The sequence below is a fragment of the Homo sapiens genome, chromosome 13 (assembly GCF_000001405.40).
Source record: "Homo sapiens chromosome 13, GRCh38.p14 Primary Assembly".
NCBI classification, from domain to species: domain Eukaryota; kingdom Metazoa; phylum Chordata; class Mammalia; order Primates; family Hominidae; genus Homo; species Homo sapiens.
In genome coordinates this window covers 79593796-79614047 of record NC_000013.11, presented here as the reverse complement: position 1 = coordinate 79614047, position 20252 = coordinate 79593796, and positions in this window count along the sequence as shown.

The window sequence follows — 20252 nt, the reverse complement described above, 5'->3', positions numbered from 1 at the left end:
TTCATAGGATTCAGTTCATTGTGGGCTGTATGTGTGAGGGCCTCATTATTCACTGGCTATTGGCCAAAGGCCACGTCTAGTTCCTTGGATATAGATCACAGATCTCTCCATAGAGCATCTCAAAACATTGCAGCTTGCTTCACCAGAAGGGGCGAGCCAAAAAGAGAGACAAAAAGCCAATGATACAGTCTGACAGTGTCCCCACCCAAATCTCACCTTGAATGTCAATAATCCCCATATTTCAAGGGCAGGGTCAGGTGGAGATAATTGAATCATGGGGGTGGTTTCTCTCATACTATTCTCATGATAGTAAATAAGTCTCACAAGATGTGATGGATTTATAAATGGAAGTTTCCCTGCATAAGCTCTCTTCCCTGCTGGCATGTAAGATGTGCCTCTGCTTCTCCTCTGCCTTCCACCATGATTGTGAGACCACCCCCAGTCATGTGGAACTGTGAATCCATTAAACCTCGTTCCTTTATAAATAAACCAGTCTCAGGTATGTCTTTGTTAGCAGCATGAGAACAGACTAATACAGTAAAGTAGTATCGAAAGAGTGGGGAGCTGCTGTTCCAAAATTGTGGAAATGACTTTGGAACTGGGTAACAGGTAGAGGTTGGAACAGTTCTAAGTGCTCGGAATAAGACAAAAAAAGTAGGAAAATTTGGAACTTCCTAGAGACTTGTTGAATAGTTTTGACCAAAATATTGACAATGATATGAACAATAAAGTCCAGGTTGAGGTGGTCTCAGATGGAAAAGAGGAACTTATTGGGAACTGGAGTAAAAGTGACCCTTGTTATGCTTTAGCAAAGAGCATAACATTTTAGCAAAATCCTTTAGCATTTTGCCCCTGCCCTAGAAATGTGTGGAACTTTGAACTTGAGAGAGATGAGTTAGGGCATCTGGCAAAAGAAATTTTTAAGCAGCAAAGTGTTCAAGAGATGACTTGGGTGCTATTAAAATCATTCAGTTTTATGTATTCACAAAGATATGGTTTACAATTGGAATTTGTGTTTAAAAATGAAGCAGAGCATAAAAGTTCAAAAATTTGCAAACTGATGATGTGATAGAAAAGAAAAAGCCATTTTCTGAGAAGAAATCCAAGCCAGCTGCAGGAATTTGCATAAATAATGAGGAGCCAAATGTTAATCGCCAAAACAATGGGGAAAATGTATCCAGGGCACATCAGAGACCTTCATGGCAGCCCCTCCCATCACAGGCCCGGAGGCCTAGGAGGAAAAACTGGTTTCATGGGTCAGGCCCAGGGCCCACCACTGTGTACAGCCTAGGGAGTTGGTGCCCTGTGTTCCAGCTGCTCCATCCATGCTAAAAGGGACAAGGTACCACTCAGGCCATGACTTCAGAGGGTACAAGCCCCAAGCCTTGGCAGCTTCCATGTGGTGTTGAGCCTGCAGATATACAGAAATCAAGAATTGAGGTTTTGGAACCTCTGCCTAGATTTCAGAGGATGTATGGAAACTCTTGGATGTACAGGCAGAAGTTTGCTGTGGGGCACGGGGTGGGGGGAGGTGGGCTGGCCTCATGAAGAACCTCTGTTAGGGCTGTATGGAAGGGAAATGTGGGGTTGGTCCTTTCCCCATGGGAGGACATAGCTACAAGGTGCCATTTATGAAGCAGAGACTGAGCCCTCACTAGAAACCAAATATGCTAACCTCTTGATCTTGGACTTCCCAGCCTGCAAAACTAACTTCTAGATGGAGAGATCATGGCAGATGGGAGGCAGGACTAGATTTAAGCTCCCACTCAGGTGCACAGAACAGCACATGGAGGCTTTCAGCATGAACTTTGACTGCAGAGCAACTGCAGGAATACATTAGGAAAGCCAAGAGAACACACAGACCCTCTGAAGGAAGCAGATTGCTCCTGCAGGACCCAGGAGACATCCCAAATGCTTTGAGTGCTCAAACAGTGGAAGTGAAAAAGGGATATTGTCCACTCCTGAACACACACTCTCACTGGGGAACTTGAAGGTGTAGACTACAGGAGAAGATTCTGATGTTACCTGAAGCTGAGTTGATTTAGAGAGCTGAGTGAAATACAGGGGTAGAGGAAGCAGTGGAAAAATCCCTGTGGGCCTTCTGGGTCCTCTAGCAAGCCATTTCTGCCTCACCTCACAGGCGTCCTTAAGGATGGCTTCCAGAGGCACTGGGGAAAGGCCACAGGGAGAAGAAAACCTCCAATTGAACTTTATAACAACTTGAACTGATTGAGAAGTCTTCCCCTGCCTTGCTAGAGAACTAAAACTTCCAAATACAAGAACCTCAAAGAACACCTGGGAAATTCATCACAAAAAGATCATCGCCTAGGCACACTTCCATCTGTTATATAAAGTTAAGACAAAGGAAAGAATCTTAAGAGCTGTGAGGCAAAAACACCAGGTAACCTATAAAGAAAAACCTGTAAGATTAACAGCAGATTTCTCAGCAGAAACCCTACAAGCTAGAAGGGATTGGGGCCCTATCTTCAGCCTCCTCAGACAAAACAATTATCATCCAAGAATTTTGTACCCAGTGAAACTAAACTTCATAAATGAAGGAAAGATGCAGTCTTTTTCAGACAAACAAATATTGAGAGGATGTGCCACTACTAAGCCAGCACCACAAGAACTACTAAAATGACCTCTAAATCTTGAAACAAATCCTGGAAACACATCAAAACAGAACCTCTTTAAAGCATAAATCTCACAGGACCTATAAAACAAAAATACAATTAAAAAAAAGGTATACAGGCAACCAATAGCATGATGAGTGGAATGGTACCTCACACCTCAATACTGATATTGAATGTAAATAGCCTAAATGCTCTACTTAAAAGATACAGAATTGCAGAATGGATAAGAATTCACAAACCAACTATCTGCTGCCTTTAAGAGACATGCCTCACACATAAGGATTCATATAAACTTAAGATAAAGGGATGGAAAAATACATTCCATGCAAAGGGACATCAAAAGCAAGCAGGGGTAGCTATTCTAACATTAGACAAAACAAACTTTAAAACAACAGCAGTTTAAAAAGACAAAGAGGGTCATTATATAATGATAAAAGGCCTTGTCCAATAGGAAAATATCACAATCCTAAATATATATGCACCTAACATTGGAGCTCCCAAATTTATAAAGCAATTACTAATAGACCTAAGAAATGAGATAGACAGCAACAGAATAATAGGAGGGGACTTTAATACTCCACTAATGGCACTAGACAGGTCATCAAGACAAGGTCAACAAAGAAACAATGGATTTAAACTATACCTTGGAACAAATGGAGTTAACAGATATTTACAGAACATTCTACCCAACAACTGCAGAATATACATTCTATTCAACAATGCATGGAACTTTCTCCAAGATAGACCATAGGATAGGCCACAAAATGAGCCTAAAAAATTTCAAGAAAATTGAAATTATATCAAGCACTCTCAGACCACAGTGGAATAAAACTGAAAATCAACTCCAAAAGGAAACTTCAAATCATGCAAATACACAGAAATTAAATAACATGCTCCTGATTGAGCACTGGGTCAAAAATGAAATCAAGATGGAAATTAAAAAACTATTTAAACTCAATGACAATAGTGATACAACCTATAAAAAAACCTCTGGGATACAGCAAAGGTGGTGCTAAGAGTAAAGTTCATAGCCCTAAATGGCTGCATCAAAAAGTCTGAAAGAGCACAGACAATTTAAGGTCACACCTCAAGAAACTAGAGAAACCAAGAGCAAACCAAACCCAAACCCAGCAAAGTAAAGGAAATAACCAAGATCAGAGCAGAACTAAATGAAATTGAAACAAAAAAATACAAAATATAAATGAAGCAAAAGGTGGCTCTTTGAAAAGAGAAATAAAATTGATAGACCATTAGCAATATTAACCAAGAAGAGAGAAAATCCAAATAAGCTCAATTAGAAATGGAATGGGAGATATTACAACTGACACCACAGAAATATAAAATAATATTCAAGACTACTATGAACACCTTTATCTGCATAAACTAGAAAACCTAGAGGAGATGGATAAATTCCTGAAAAGATATAAACTTCCTAGCTTAAATCAGGAAGAATTAGATGCTATGAACAGACCAATAACAAGCAGCAAGAATGAAATGGTAATAAAAAAAATTACCAACAAAAAAAGTCCAGGACCAGATGGATTTACAGCAGAATTCTACCAGACATTCAAAGAAGAATTGGTACCAATCCTATTGACACTATTCCACAAGACAGAGAAAGAGGAAACCCTCCCTAAATCATTCTATGAAGCCAGTATCACCCTAATACTAAAACCAGGAAAGGACATAACCAAAAAAAGGAAAACTACATACCAATATCCCTGATGAACACAGATGCTAAAATCCTTAACAAAATACTAGCTAACCAAATCCAACAACATATCAAAAAGATAATCCACCATGATCAAGTGGGGATGCAGGGATGGTTTAACATATGCAAGTCAATAAATGTGACACACCACATAAACAGAATCAAAACCACAAATCACATGATCATCTCAATAGATGCAGAAAAAACACTCGACAAAATTCCACATCGCTTTATGATTAAAACTCTCAGCAAAATTGGCATACGAGGGACATACTTCAATGTAATAAAAGCGATCTATGACAAACCCACAGCCAACATAATACTGAATAGGGAAAAGTTAAAAGTATCCCTCTGAGAACTAAAACAAGACAAGGATGCCCACTCTCACCACTACTCTTCAATGTAGCACTGGAAGTCCTAGCCAGAGCAATCAGACAAGAGAAAGAAATAAAGGGCATCCAAATCGGTAAAGAGGAAGTCAAACTGTTTGCTGATGATTTATTGTTTACCTAGAAAACCCTAAAGACTACTCCAGAAAGCTCCTAGAACTGATCAAAGAATTCGGCAGTTTCTGGATACAAAAATCAATGTACACAAATCAGTAGCTCTTCTATACACCAACAGTGGCCAAACAGAGAATCAAATCAAGAACTCAACCCCTTTACAACAGCCACAATAAAAATAAAATACTTAGGAATATACTTAACTAAGGAGGTGAAAGACCTCTACAAGGAAAACAACAAAACACCACTGAAAGAAATCATAGATGACACAAGCAAATGGAAACACATCCCATGCTCATGGATGGGTAGAATCAATATTGTGGAAATGACTATACTGCCAAAAGCAGTTGACAAATTCAATGCAATTCCCATTAAAATACCACCATCATTCTTCACAGATTAGAAAAAAAATCCTAAAATTCATATGGTACTAAAAAAAACACCCTGCATAGCCAAAGCAAGACTAAGCAAAAAGAACAAATCTGGAGGCATCACACTACCTGATTTCAAACTGTACTATGAGGCCATAGTCACCAAAGCAGCATGGTATTGGCATAAAAATAGGCACATATACCAACAGAATAGAATAGAGAACACAGAAGTAAACCCTAATACTTACAGCCAACTGATCTTTAACAAAGCAAACAAAAACAAAGTGGGGAAAGGACACCCTATTCAACAAACAGTGCTGGGATAATTGGAAGCCACATGTAGGAGAATGAAACTGGATCCTCATCTCTCACCTTATACAAAAATTACCTCAAAATGGATTAAGGACTTAAATCTAAGACCTGAAACTATAAATTTTAGAAGACAACATTGGAAAAACCCTTCTATACATTGGCTTAGGCAAGGATTTCATGACCAAGAACCCAAAAGTGAATGCAATAAAATAAAAATAGGTGGACTTCATTAAACCAGAGAGCTTTTGCACAGCAAAAGGAACAGTCAGCAGAGTAAACAGACAATCCACAGAGTGGGAGAAAATCTTCACAATCTATACAGCTGATGAAGGACTAACATCCAGAATCTACAATGAACTCAAAAACAAATAAGCAAGAAAACAAAACAATCCCATTAAAACATGGGCTAAGGACATGAATAGACAATTCCCAAAAGAAGATACACAAATGGCCAACAAACATATGAAAAAATGTTTAACATCACTAATGATCAGGGAAATGCAAATCAAAACCACAGTGTGATACAATCTTACTCCTGCAAGAATGGCCATAATCAAAAAATAAAAAAAAATAGATGTTGGCATGGATGCAGTGAACAGGGAACATTTCTACACTGCTGGTGGGAATGTAAACTAGTACAACCACTATGAAAAACAGTGTGGAGATTCCTTAAGTAGAACTACCATTTGATCCAGCAATCCCACTACTGGGTTTCTACCCAGAGGAAAACAAGTCATTATATGAAAAAGATTCTTGCACATGCATGTTTATAACAGCACAATTTGCAGTTGCAAAAATGTGGAATCAACCAAAATGCCCATCAATCAATGAGTAAAGAAACTGTGACATATATATATACATATGTATATATATATATACACATATATATACATATGTATATATATATATATACATATATATATATACACATATATATATATATTTTCTTGCCAATTTGTTTGAGTTCATACACATATATATATATATATGTGATAGAATAAAACTCAGCCACAAAAAGCAATGAATGAGACTGGAGACTATTATTCTAAGTGAAGTAACTCAGGAATGGAAAATCTAACATCGTATGTTCTCACCCATATGTGAGAGCTAAGCTATGAGGATGCAAAGGCGTAAGAAAGACACAATGGACTTTGGGGACTCAGGGGGAAAGGATGGGAAGGGGTGAGGGATAAAAGACCACAATTTAAGTGCAGTGTGTACTGCTTGAGTAATGGGTGCACCAAAATCTCACAAATCACCACTAAAGAACTTACTCATGTAACCAAACACCACCTGTTCCCCCAATAACGTATGAAAATAAAAAAAATTAATTAAAAAATAGAAATGTGGGGTTGCAGCCTCCACACAGAGTCCCGACTGGGGCACTGCCTAGCGGAGCTGTGAGAAGGGGGCCACTGTCCTCCAGACCCCAGAATGGTAGATCCATCGACAGCTTACACCATGCACCTGGAAAGCCAGACACTCAACACCAGCCTGTGCAAGCAGCCACGAGGGGGCTGTACCCTGCAAAGCCACAGGGGCAGAGCTGCCCAAGGTTGTGGGAGCCCACCTCTTACATCGGCGTGACCTGGATATGAGACATGAAGTCAAAGGAGATCATTTCAGAACTTTAGATTTGGTTTCCCCACTGGATTTCAGACTTGTGTGGGGCCTGTAGCCCCTCAGTTTTGGCCAAATTCTCCTATTTGGAATGGGTGTATTTACCCAATGCCTATATCCCCATTGTATCTAGGAAGTAACTAACTTGCTTTTGGGTTTACAGGATCATAGGCTAAAGGAACTTGCCTTATCTCACATGAGACTTTGGACTGTGGACTTTTGAGTTAAGATTTTGGGAGACTGTTGGGAAGGCATGATTGGTTTTGAAATGTGAGAACATGAAATTTGAGAAAGGCCATGGCGGAATCATATAGTTTGTCTTTTTGTCCCCACCCAAATCTCACCTTGCATTGTAATAATCCCCACATGTCAAGGGCAGGGCAAGGTGGAGATACTTGAATCATGAGGGCAGTTTGCCCCATACTGTTCTCATACTAGTGAATAAGTCTCACGAGATCTGATGGTTTTATAAATGGGAGTTCCCCTACACAAGCTCTCTTCCCTGCCACCATGTAAGATGTGCCTTTGCTTCTCGTTTGCCCTCCACCATGATTGTAGATAATATATCCACATGGAGATAAAAACAGAGGAAGGTCAGAGATTGAGTGTCTGAGGCCTCCCCAGCCATACAGAACTGTGAGTCCATTAAACCTCTTTCCTTCATAAATTACTCAGTCTTGGGTATGTCTTATTAGCAGCATGAGAACAGACTAACACAGGGAGAGAGCAAAAAGTCTTAGTTTTTTATAAACTAATCCCAGAGTGATATTGCATCACTTTTGCCATATGCCATTTGTTAAAAGAGAGTCACCAAGTCCAGCTCAGAGATAAGGGAGGAGATTACACAAGGGCATGAATCCCAGGAGGTGGAATCACCAGGAGCCACCTGCACACCACATCTATTCTTGAACTTCATCTCCGACTCCTCTCACCTTTGTACTCCAGGTGCCAGACACTTTGGCTGCCTTCCTGTCCTTTGAATACACTAAGCTTGACTCTACCTTAGGGCCTTCTCCCTAACTATTCCTCTGCCTAAAACCCCTTCCTCCCCAGCTCTTCGTGTGGCTGACTCCCTTTCAGGAATTCATGCATCTGCTCAGACATCACTGCCTTCTGAACACACTAACCACAGTATGATCTTCACCCATCCCTCTCTAGTCCATACCTCAGTTTTATTTTGGATTTGAAACCAAGTCACCAAAACAATCACTCTTTCTTTCTGATTCTTCCTGAAGGAATAAAAAACAAATCGGAACAAAAAACAAATCAAAACAAAACAAACAAGAACACTTAAGAGCTGGCCAAATTAATAGACAGATAGTAGAATAAGTTCCCTGAACGTGTGCTGCATTAACTAAATTAAGAGCAGCCAGTACCCTCCACTTCCACTTTTATGTGGGCATGAAGCTCATCTTGACTTCTAACGCTGCCATGGGCCCTGACTGGATGCTGTGCAGCTCCACAGCAAGAAATGAGAAAGTTTCAAATACATTTCAGGATGTTTTTCTCAAGTTAAATGTTTGCATGAAATAAAGTTAATTTACATTAACCTTTAATTTTCCATTCATCCCCAAAGTACAATCGATATTTATATATGTTTATATATAAAATAGAAAAAATACTGATCCCTAGAATAGAGGTACTGGCCTAACAGCTGCAAACAGGAGTAATTTCAATTAAAACTCTGATGTATAATGCATAATAATTTTAAATTACACCTCTTAGAAACAGCCACTCTTAAATCTTAAAGCAGTGAGGAATGAAGAAAGTTTGGTTAGCTGTGAGAGGAAGTACTTTATTTCATGGCAAGTCAGAGCATGCAGAGAAGTCAGAACTGTTTCATAAGATTTGCACGGTGGCTCCTCACAAACTGAAAGGGATATTTGGCCATAATCTACGTTCTTCTCCAAACAATGACACTATGATTATAGCACATGCCCAACATTGATAAGGATGTTTTTGTTACCTAGGGAGTTGATTTCAGGAAGGTTCAGGTTTCACATGCAGAATTTAAGACAAGATTTAAACAAGTTAATAAGTATTTGTTTAGTTTGTCCTCTTTGAATGTTGGCATGAGAGTGAGGCTGATTAGGAAATGTAAACATGCTGTGTGCCTTGGTGGTGCTTGATCTGGGGACCTCACCATTGCTATTGAAGTCCTAAGCCACAATAAGGTATATTAATCCCTGGCAAACAGCCATAGGATACCCTAGAAGAACTTGCAAAACACTGAAAAAGGAGATTTGGCATTGCTGTGATTCAAGACCAACTACTCACAGAACTTTATAAAAGCAAACTTTTTTTTCCCATTATAATTTCATCATAAAATCGGTGAATGAGTTCAGGGTGAATATTTTAGCCAAATCTAAAGACCAAAACCAAAAAAAAGGTATATATTTTTTCTATTTCCTAAAGACAAATTTCCCCTGAGAAAGAGAATCAAACATTCTTTAGTTTAAAAACAAAAACTAGGAGAGAAAGGTGGAAAGTACATATACTGTTCCCTTTGATAGAAAGGCAAAATGTCAACTAGGATTTCCGTGTTATAAATTTAACTTAATTCTAATAATGATACACAAGGATTTTTTTAATTTGATAAACTGATGAAAAAGCAAATAAAAATTTAAAATTAAAACAGTAAAGATAACCACAAAATTTCTGAAATGATAATGGTGGTCAGGGGACATTAGCCTTCCTAGGGATTAAATCAATTATAAAGCTACAGTTATTATAAACAGTATTAAAATGCTCCACATCACTAATCAGAGAAATGCAAATCAAAACCACAATGAGATACCATCTCACACCAGTCAGAATGGCTATTAATAAAAAGTCAAAAAATAACAAGTGCTGGTGAGGTTGTGGAGAAAAAGGGATGCTTATACACTATTGGAGGGAGTATAAATTAGTTCAACCATTGTTGAAATCAGTATGATGGTTCCTCAAAGAGCTAAAAACAGAACTACTATTTGACCCAGCAATTCCATTACTAGGTATACACCCAAAGGAATATAAACCATTCTATTATAAAGATACATGCACTTGTATGTTCGTTGCAGCACTGTTCACAATAGCAAAGACACAGAACCAATCTAGGTGTCCATCAGTGGTGGATTGGATAAAGTGTAGTACATATGCACCATGGAATACCCCATAGAATACTACACAGCCATGAAAAAGAATGAAATGTCTTTTGTAGCAACATGAATGCAGCTGGAGGTCATTATCCTAAGTGAATTAATGCAGAAACAGAGAACCAAATACCACATGTCCTCACTTATAAGTGGGAGCTAAACACTGGGTAGTCACAGACATAAAGATGGCAACAATAGACACTGGGGACTACTGGAGGAGAGAGGGACAAAGAGGGAAAAGGGTTGAATAACTATTGGGTACTATGCTCAGTACCTGGGTTACAGGATCAACCATACCCCAAACCTCCGCATCATGCAGTATACCCAGGTAACAAACTAGCACATATACTCCCTGAGTCTGAAATAAAAGTTGAAATTTTTTTTTTAATTTTAGTGCACATACTTTTCACCCAGGCATTCCACCTCTAAACATTTATCTTACAGAAATACTTACAAAATTACATTTATACAAAGATATTCACTGTAGCAAAAGTTTAGAAAGTGCCATCAATAGTGCATTTTACTAAATAAGTAACAGATTATTCAAACCATGGCAGATACTGTGGCTTGTCTTCTATTTGGCCAACAGACTAGTTTCACTAATCCTTTCCCCAGCCCCAGGAGATTAATCTTGAAGAGACTATGCCAGCAACAGTCATTCCGTTTTCCTTATTGGAATGCAATAAAATATCCCAAACCACTGCCTCTGGGTGAACTGAGTAGCTGGGGGATAGAAGAAAATAGAAGATTTACTTTTCACTAAATACCCCCTTTGAATTCTATGAATTTTGTTACATGGGCATGTACGTGTGAAAAAAAACATAAAAGTTGTAAAAAGCATTGTTGCCCATTTTTAATTAAAAAACTAAAGCATAAAAATTCAAATTTTATAGGTTTTGAAAGCAGTAGTAGAAATAAAACCAAAGCCTACAATACATTATCTCTAGTATGAATTCCAGCACGTCCCAACATTTGCAGATACATCATTTGCTGTTAATATCATCTCTTGCCCAGTGATTATACAGAGTGGTTTACAGGCTGGTGACTATAAAATCAGGCAGACAGGCGACACGGTGAGATTCCGTCTCAAAAAAAAAAAAAAAATCAAGCAGACAAGTTCCAATTCATTTGTGCTGATATAACAGAATACCTAAGACTGGGTAATTTTTATAAAGAGCAGAAATTTTTTACTCACAGTTCTGAAGACGGGTAGTTCCAAGATCTAGGTGCCAGCAGGTTCAATTGTTTGGTGAGGGCCAAGTCTCCACTCTCAAGATGGTGCCTTGTGTATGGTAGATGCACCTGACAGCAATAATTTAAGCATACCCTGAGAATGACCCTGCATGCTAGATTCACCTGACTAATAATGTTACTTATAAGATGAGGGTTACCACATGGAGGTTGCTGGGGAGGGTTCTGAGTGAAGGTGCTGTATCAACTGCATGCTTTTTGCAAGTGGTTGTGGGTCTCCTGTCTAGCCTGCCACCACTGGACCGTTCCTGTATGGTGGATCGGTCCTGCCACCACTGGACCGTTCCTGTATGGTGGATCGGTCCTGCCACCACTGGACCGTCCCAGTAAGACTCTATGTCTTGTTTGCTGGCTCTGGGTCTCTTCTTCAGCCTCTTGAACCTGGTGCCATCCCTACTGAAGTTTGCAGGGGTCCAACACAACACCCTGATGCTGCTTCCTCTGGAGGGTAGGAACACCGCACCTTCACTTGGAAAAAAAGCAGAAAAAAAAAAAAAGGTGAACTCATTCCTGCAAGCCCTTTTTATAAGTTTCCTAATTTATTTACAAGGGAGGAGCTCTCAGGGTCTATCACCTCCCAGAGGCCCCACCTTCCAATACCATCACCTTGATGGTTAGGTTTCAACATGAATTTTGGGGGGGACACCACATTCAAACCATAGCAGTCTCTGCCACCCTTTACCAGTTGTATGACTTTAGGCAGGTAATATAGTTATTTAAATCTCAGTTCACAGATCATGGAACAGGATGATAATTTAGATAAAGCCCTTAGCCCTGTGCTGGGCTTTTATGGGTGCTCTAGTGGACACTGGCCATTGTAGTGTGCTCATCTAATTAAGGCAGATCCAGATGAATTTTCAGCTCAATATTTAGAAACTTTTTCAGCACTTCTTAAAATAATCAGAAACACAGCATAAGGGGGTCATAAAACTAAGATTGGGATAACTCCTGTTGAATTAGCAAAAGAAGAGTATTCTGGGCCATGTTTCTTACACTTTAACTTTGCCTCAAACATTGGAATCACCTGAGGAGTTTTTTCAAATTACTGATGCCTGGGCTCCACCTTCGAAGATTCTAATTAAATTGGTGTGGGCTGCTGTCTGGATGGCAGACTATTTTAAGTTCCTCAGGTGATTCTAATGTGCAGCCAAGGTTGAGGACCACTGGCATAGACGCTTCATTAAATCATCTGTTCTTAATTAAGTCTTAGCTATTCTTATGCTGGTAGAGGTTTAAAGGGCTTATCCATTTCCCCCATAGGTTAGAAGTTTCATCAGGGCTTTATTTCTTAATTTTTGTTTTGTTTTGTTTTTTAACCTCTGCCTTTTATTTTTCTTTTAGCCTGCCTAAATGTCTTGTAGAATCTCATCATCACTATTGATTGACTGTTCAACGCAAATGGTGACAGCAACTGGAAGCCTCCCTCCACGAGGCTCTTCTTCCTCAGGTGGTCAGCCTGCTTAATGAGAATCCCAGTTAGGTGTAGCACACCATTGCACTACTGTTACTGCTTCTGCAGGCTAATATTTCAGAAACTGGTTTGATTCCTCGCCATAACAGTCATTTTCCCATTGTCTATCTTTTCCTCCCATTTGTTTTCAACTTTTAATGGATTAAATAATTTTGTACATAAAACCATGCCCAGAAATAACTTATTATTATTATTATTTTGCTTTCAGATGTTTAGAGAGGGAATGTGCTATAGCTAAAGAGGGTGGGATTTGTAGTCAGGAAATGAGTTCAAGTCCCAATTTGCCACTTACTGCTGAGGAGTCACTTTGCATCATTGTGAGAGGTGGCAGCGTGCTGGCAGTCCTCACAGCCCACGCTCGCTCTCTGTGCCTCCTCTGCCTAGGCTCCCACTTTGGCGGCACTTGGGGAGCCCTTCAGCCCACCGCTGCACTGTGGGAGCCCCTTTCTGGGCTGGCCAAGGCCGGAGCCCGCTCCCTCAGCTTGCAGGGAGGTGTGGAGGGAGAGGAGCGAGCGGGAACCTGAGCTGCGCGCTGCGCTTGCGGGCCAGCTGGAGTTCCGGGTGGGCGTGGGCTTGGCGGGCCCCGCACTCGGAGCAGCCGGCCGGCCCTGCCGGCCCTGGGCAATGAGGGGCTTAGCACCCGGGCTGGCGGCTGCAGAAGGTGTACTGGGTCTCCCAGCAGTGCCAGCCCACCGGCGCTGCGCTCAATTTCTCGCTGGGCCTTAGCTGCTTTCCCACGGGGCAGGGCTCGGGAACTGCAGCCCGCCATGCCTGAGCCTCCCACCCTCTCCGTGGGCTCCTGTGCGGCCCGAGCCTCCTCGACGAGCGCCATCCCCTGCTCCACTGCGCCCAGTCCCATCGACAACCCAACGGCTGAGGAGTGCAGGCGCATGGCACGGGACTGGCAGGCAGCTCCACCTGCAGCCCCAGTGCGGGATCTACTGGGTGAAGCCAGCTGGGCTCCTGAGTCTGGTGGGGCCTTGGAGAACCTTTATGTCTAGCTCAGGGATTGTAAATACACCAATTGGCACTCTGTCTCTAGCTCAAGGTTTGTAAACACACCAATCAGCACCCTGTGTCTAGCTCAGGGTTTGTGAATGCACCCATCGACACTCTGTATCTAGCTACTCTGGTGGGGCCTTGGAGAACCTTTGTGTCAATACTCTGTAGCTAACTAATCTGGTGGGGACGTGGAGAACCTTTGTGTCTAGCTCAGGGATTGTAAACGCACCAATCAGCACCCTGTCAAAACAAACCACTGGGCTCTACCAATCAGCAGGACATGGGTGGGGCCAGATAAGAATAAGAGCAGGCTGCCCGAACCAGCAGTGGCAACTCGCTCGGGTCCCTTTCCACACTGTGGAAGTTTTGTTCTTTAGCTCTTTGCAATAAATCTCGCTGCTGCTCACTCTGTAACACTCACCGTGAAGGTCTGCAGCTTCACTCCTGAAGCCAGCGAGATCACGAGCCCACCGGGAGGAACGAACAACTCCAGTTGCGCCACCTTAAGAGCTGTAACACTCACCGCGAAGGTCTGCAGCTTCACTCCTGAGCCAGCGAGACCACGAACCCACCAGAAGGAAGAAACTCCAAACACATCTGAACATCAGAAGGAGCAAACTCCGACACGCCGCCTTTAAGAACTGTAACACTCACTGCCAGGGTCTGCGGCTTCATTCTTGAAGTCAGTGAGACCAAGAACCTACCAATTCCAGACACAATTGCTAGGCCTCAATTTTCTAATTTATAGTAGGATAATAATAGTATAGGGTTGTTAAGATACAAGGATCATATGTATAAAAAGCATTTTATAAAATATAAAACATTTTTCAAATATTATGATTGTGAAAGGAATAAGTGAAACCTTATACAACCGATAAAATTGTGTATAACAATTAGTATCACTCATTTAGAATAGACATAACTTTCCATTTGTCTGTCCTTTCTCATTTGCCTCATCTATCAGATCCCACATCCCTGTCTAAATTTTAACTCAGTTACCTTTATTTTCAACTCTACTGATATTTGTCATATAAACTCAAAACAGATGTGTCATTATGAACAAAAGTATTCCTTTTCCCAAGGACCTCTTTAGAAGAAAGCTAATAGGTACTGTTCAATCATTCATTAGGCAGATGTGTACTGAGAACCTGCCAGGTGGCAGGCACTGTGCAAGGATCTGTGGTTGAAGAAATGACCAGGACAGGACATTGGTAGAGCTTAAGTCTAGCAGAAATGTAATCAATGTTGCAACTGGAAAAGATTATTTGCAGGGACCTCACATAGTCAAGGGTTAGAAAAAATCACTTCGAGCCAAGTGAAGCTTAGCAAATTTGCCAGCCCAAACAGAGCTAGACAGGGTTGGTGCCCAGGCATGGAGAACAGCAAGGTCTGAGTGACAGAGACCACAGTTCGTTAGGGTAACTGAAAGAACTTCAGTGTACCTGGAGTGTGAGAGAGGGAAAGTGTTGAGTGAAGAGGCTAGAAAGGTCAACATTAACCATAAGCCTCAGAACCCTATCAAGGGATTTGGATTTTATCCTAAGGGCATTGGGAAGTCATTAAAAGATTTGAAACAGGAGAGTATGTAATCAGATTTCTAGGGGTTTTGTTTGTTCTGTTTCCTTTGTCTGGTTGCAATGTGGAGTATGTGTTTGGGAAAGGAATAAGGCAAGGAGACCAGATGTAATACTCCTGAGGTCAGATGTTGTGATCAGGCTTCGTATTATGATAAATGGGGTTGGAGAGACATAGAAGGGAGCAATTTTTGTAAAACATAGATCTGATCGTGTCACTCCCATAATCAAAACTCTTCAAGCCTCTCCCATTGTACTTAGGATAAAATTTCAGAATTCTTAACATGGCCTAAAGAGCTCTTTGTGTTCTGGCCCCGTTCCTCTTGCACACTCACCCTTTCTGTTCTTTATAGGTACCAAGCTCTTGGGACATGAGGAGGATCACTCATAACCTACCTAAAAACTTTGTATGAGACAAAACTGTTTGGTTCACTGCTTTATTCCAAAAGCAGTGAATGAATGAAGTGTGTGGTTTAAGACATATTTACAAAGTCAACAGAATTTGGAGGGGAGATGAACAAGGAGATGTTAAAAGATGAAACAAAGGTTCTGGCTTGAATAACTGGGTGGTTTACAAAAGAGACAGAAAAGATGGTTCAATATAGCTTATGTTGAGTTTGACATGCTGCAAGGTACGCAAGAGAAGATGTTAAATGGGCAATTGGATACAAGTATTTAACATGTACCAGATTCCGTTAGGTCCTTTCACACGTATTTTCTCACTTAATTAACTAAAGACAAATGTAGATAGAAACAATTAACTATATGACCTAATTTTTAAAAGTACTTTCTACACTAACTATGTTAATGCAGACTATGAATATCCCCATACCTATTTATCTGGGGAAATGAGCAATTTATCATGGAGAAATTTAAAAACTGTTTAAAAACTGATTTGAAACATTTCATTTATAAAGTATCCCTGTAGCACAATTATGGGAAGACTTAAAGAAACAAAAACAAGTACAAATTGTTGGGTGAATAATTTCAGTCCCATGGAGCAATTTTAGCCTGTTCTATTTATTTGCATGAGTAATCATGGGGCCCAGCTCATTTTAAATCAGCACAGTTGAGGTAAAGAAGAAAATAACCTATCAGTCCTACATCCAACAAGACTCATTACTCCATATCACTTTCTAAATCAATTTATTCAAGAGTTCCCTCTTCCTGCTTTTGGCAAAGTATTAAAAGCCAAGTCTGTGAAGTATTTCTTCTTCTTAGTTTATATAGTTTATACATTTTTGTTTCTAGATTCAACTTTATGCATTGAGGAAGCAGTTCCACTGCATCCTTCAAACCTTCCTATTCTAAGCCCATCAGCAATAGAACTAAGCTCTTGGCTCCATCATATTTTAGAACAGTGCTTCTCAAAGTGTGGTCTGTAGTCAAGCACATTGGAATCAACAGGGCTGCTTTCTTAAAACACATACTTGGGTCCTTACCCCCAGATCCACAAAGTCAGCATTTCTCAAAATGGGGAAAACTCAAGAATCTGCACTTTTAAATAGCTGCCCAGGTGACATTTATACACACTAAAGTTTGAAAATTTGGATAATTCAAAACCACGTAAGGTAGCTAATTCTCATTACACACCTTGCCATCAATAATAGCTATGAGCTACCTTCTCACAGAAGTAATATACCAGAACAATAAATACATTAAATGAAGATTTGAATTCAAGTAAAAACAAGAGGCTGCTCGAACACTCTGAATCAGACTCCATGAGAGAAGTTTTAAAAAGCTTTTATTTACCAACTGGTGCCACTACAGTAATTGCTGGAAAACTGAGTTACAAGTATTTTACATGGAACTACTAAATACCAGATTAGTATTCACTGATTACAAAAAAAAATAAGCTAATTGAACGTAAACGTAACCAAAGGGGGATGCTTTACATTTAAGATGTCTTGTTGAGAATAGGGAAGACACATGTTACAAAATGATTCCTAGGTTATGAGGTTTTAATTTTTAGATTTTGTTGTTGATTTTGTTTGTTTGCCTTTCTGCAAGTGCCTTTCAGTGAAGTTTCCTAAAACGTACGGCAGAATTGATTCACTGAATTTAACTCAGTTATTGCCCACAAACCTTTATTCAATGTCTTTATTGTTACTCATAGAAAAATTGTGTGTATAATATATACAATTTTTTAATACTCCATCCAAAATAGGGATATTACAGTTTGGTTAAAACTTTTGTTTTCCAAGACAAATAAATACTGTTATTTGAAAGATGCTAGGAAAATGGAAGTATATGAGACTAGATTTCTGCTTAAGTGTCTAGTCTGTACTTTTTAAATTTGTAAAAGAGAAGGAAAAATCATTTCTGTGAACATTTTTATTCACAAAACTGCAGTCTTTTTTATTCAGATACTAAAAGGTTAATTTTAAGTGCTTTTCTTTTGCAAAATGAGTAGAAAATTCCATTATCCATCAATTAAACATAGGTAAGAAGTAACAGACAGTGAACAGAAGAGAGATACATATTATGCATGCAAGGAAAATTAAAACTTGGGATATTGAGGGGGGGTGCGCTTTGATGTACAAAAGAACCATTGTTAATGTGGGACAAAACCTCCCCAGTATGGAACAGAGATAAAAAGGAGGGAGTTTCTAGCAGATCAAGGTCAACAGAGATATGTGAATAACATAAATGCTATTAATCTAGTACCGAATGAATCACAGGAGTTCAGCAGGGTATGGTTATGTGGCAGAGTTCATGGCAGGAGTTTTTTATGTCACTTTGTATTAGATAATGAACATATTCATCAAGATTCCTAAATACCATCCAAAGTGGCATAGAAGAAGCTTTAAGGAGCTTGAGAGAACAAATCAAAGCACTAGATCTGAGGCTCGGAAAGGTAATAGGGATGTTCAAACAGTGCAGCAAGTTTAGATACTTGCAGGCATCCATACAATCTCACTCTGCAGGAAATGGCGTGAGAAAGGATTTCTTAGTTGGATGACTAGCAGCTTATTATGTATAATGTCATCTCACTCATTATGTCCTAGTTTAATAGTTGGAAAAGATGCAGACAGTATTACCTTAAAAGACTGTATGCTGGAAAACATGAAATTCTTTTCATCTTATAACTCATTTAAAATACAAAATGAACTGCTTCTCCTTTCTTCAGATAAACTATAAAATGGCTAATTAAGTATCATCCTCTTTTCTCAGATTCTGCCCAAATGTTTCAGACTCCTTTGGTCTAAATCTTATTTAAGTGTACAAGACTTAAATAATATTTAAGTCTTATTTAAGTCATTATATATACATGTATACATATATATATGACTAATACGTATTAGTAATATGTACTAATATTTTATACATATAATTTATATATAATACTAGTATGTGTATATATATACACACATACATACACATACATGAACATCATTCTAGGCTCATGCCTTTTAAAAGGACAATTATGAGGAATTGAAAAAAGAACTAAGAAGAAAACAGAGGACTAGTAGCTGGTAATCCAACAGAAAATAAAAAAGGAAGAAACCAAAGAAAGAGAAGAAGAGAGAAAGTAAAAGTAAGAATTTAAGGATAAGTTTTTCAAAAGTAGATTACAAAGTAATACTGTTTTCAATGGTAGGTTACATTTCCATCTATCCAATGAGGCATAGGAGCTTATATAAATATATCGAAAACTCTAAGAACAAGCATCCCAGATTGGCCCATGAATGACATCTTAATTTGAATGTCTCTGGCAACATGTAATGAGTTCCTATCATTTCAACTTCAATCATTTTTTAAATATTAAGTGCCTTGAATGTACTAGGCATTGAGAATCCTGTAGTGAATAAGGCAGACACGATTCCTGCCCTCATAAAGCTTATTGTTTTAAGATTGATGTTGGTGGTTACAGTAAGTTGAAAAGTGTAACTCAAAAAGTCATGTCCACTCAGAACCTCAGAATGTGGTCTTATTTGGGAATACTGGTCTTTGTCAATATAACTAGCTAAGGATCTTGATTAAGTCACCCTGGATTTAGGGCCCTAAATCCAATGACTGGTGTCCTTATAAGAGGAGCAGACACAGAGAGACACACAGAGAATAAGTCAACTGGAAGATGGAGGCAGAAATTGGCATGATGCCTCTATAATCCAAGGAAGGCCAAGGATTGCCAGCAGCCACCAGAGGCTAAGAGAAAGGCCTGGGATGGTTTTTCCTTAGAGGCCCCAGAAGCAAACAATATTTGCAACACCTTGATTTACTTTCTGGCCTCTAGAGCTGTGAGAGAATCCATTTCTGTTGTTTTAAGCCACCATGGTAATTTGTTATGGTAATTGTTCATGGTAATTTGTTGTGGCAGCCCTAGGAAACTAATACATGGTGAACAGAGTTAATGCAAAAATGACCACCCACACTGAAGTCTCCCTTATCACAGTGCCACTGAGCATGGGCATGGCCTGACAAAAACAAAGATGCAGATGTGGCATGGTCTTTAACAAAATCCTCAAAAAAGAAACCAAAGAATGAGGAATAGGTTCACTAATAGTTGCACAGACTCTTAGTGTTGGAAGGGACTTTGAGACCAACTAGAGTCATCCTGTTCATTTGACGGCAGAAGAAACTGAAATGAGTTGTCTCTTGGCTTCCTCTCCCCTTTGCCTCAGGAGAGATGCAGATGGTCTGTCTTATCTCCGGCAGGAAATCTCCAT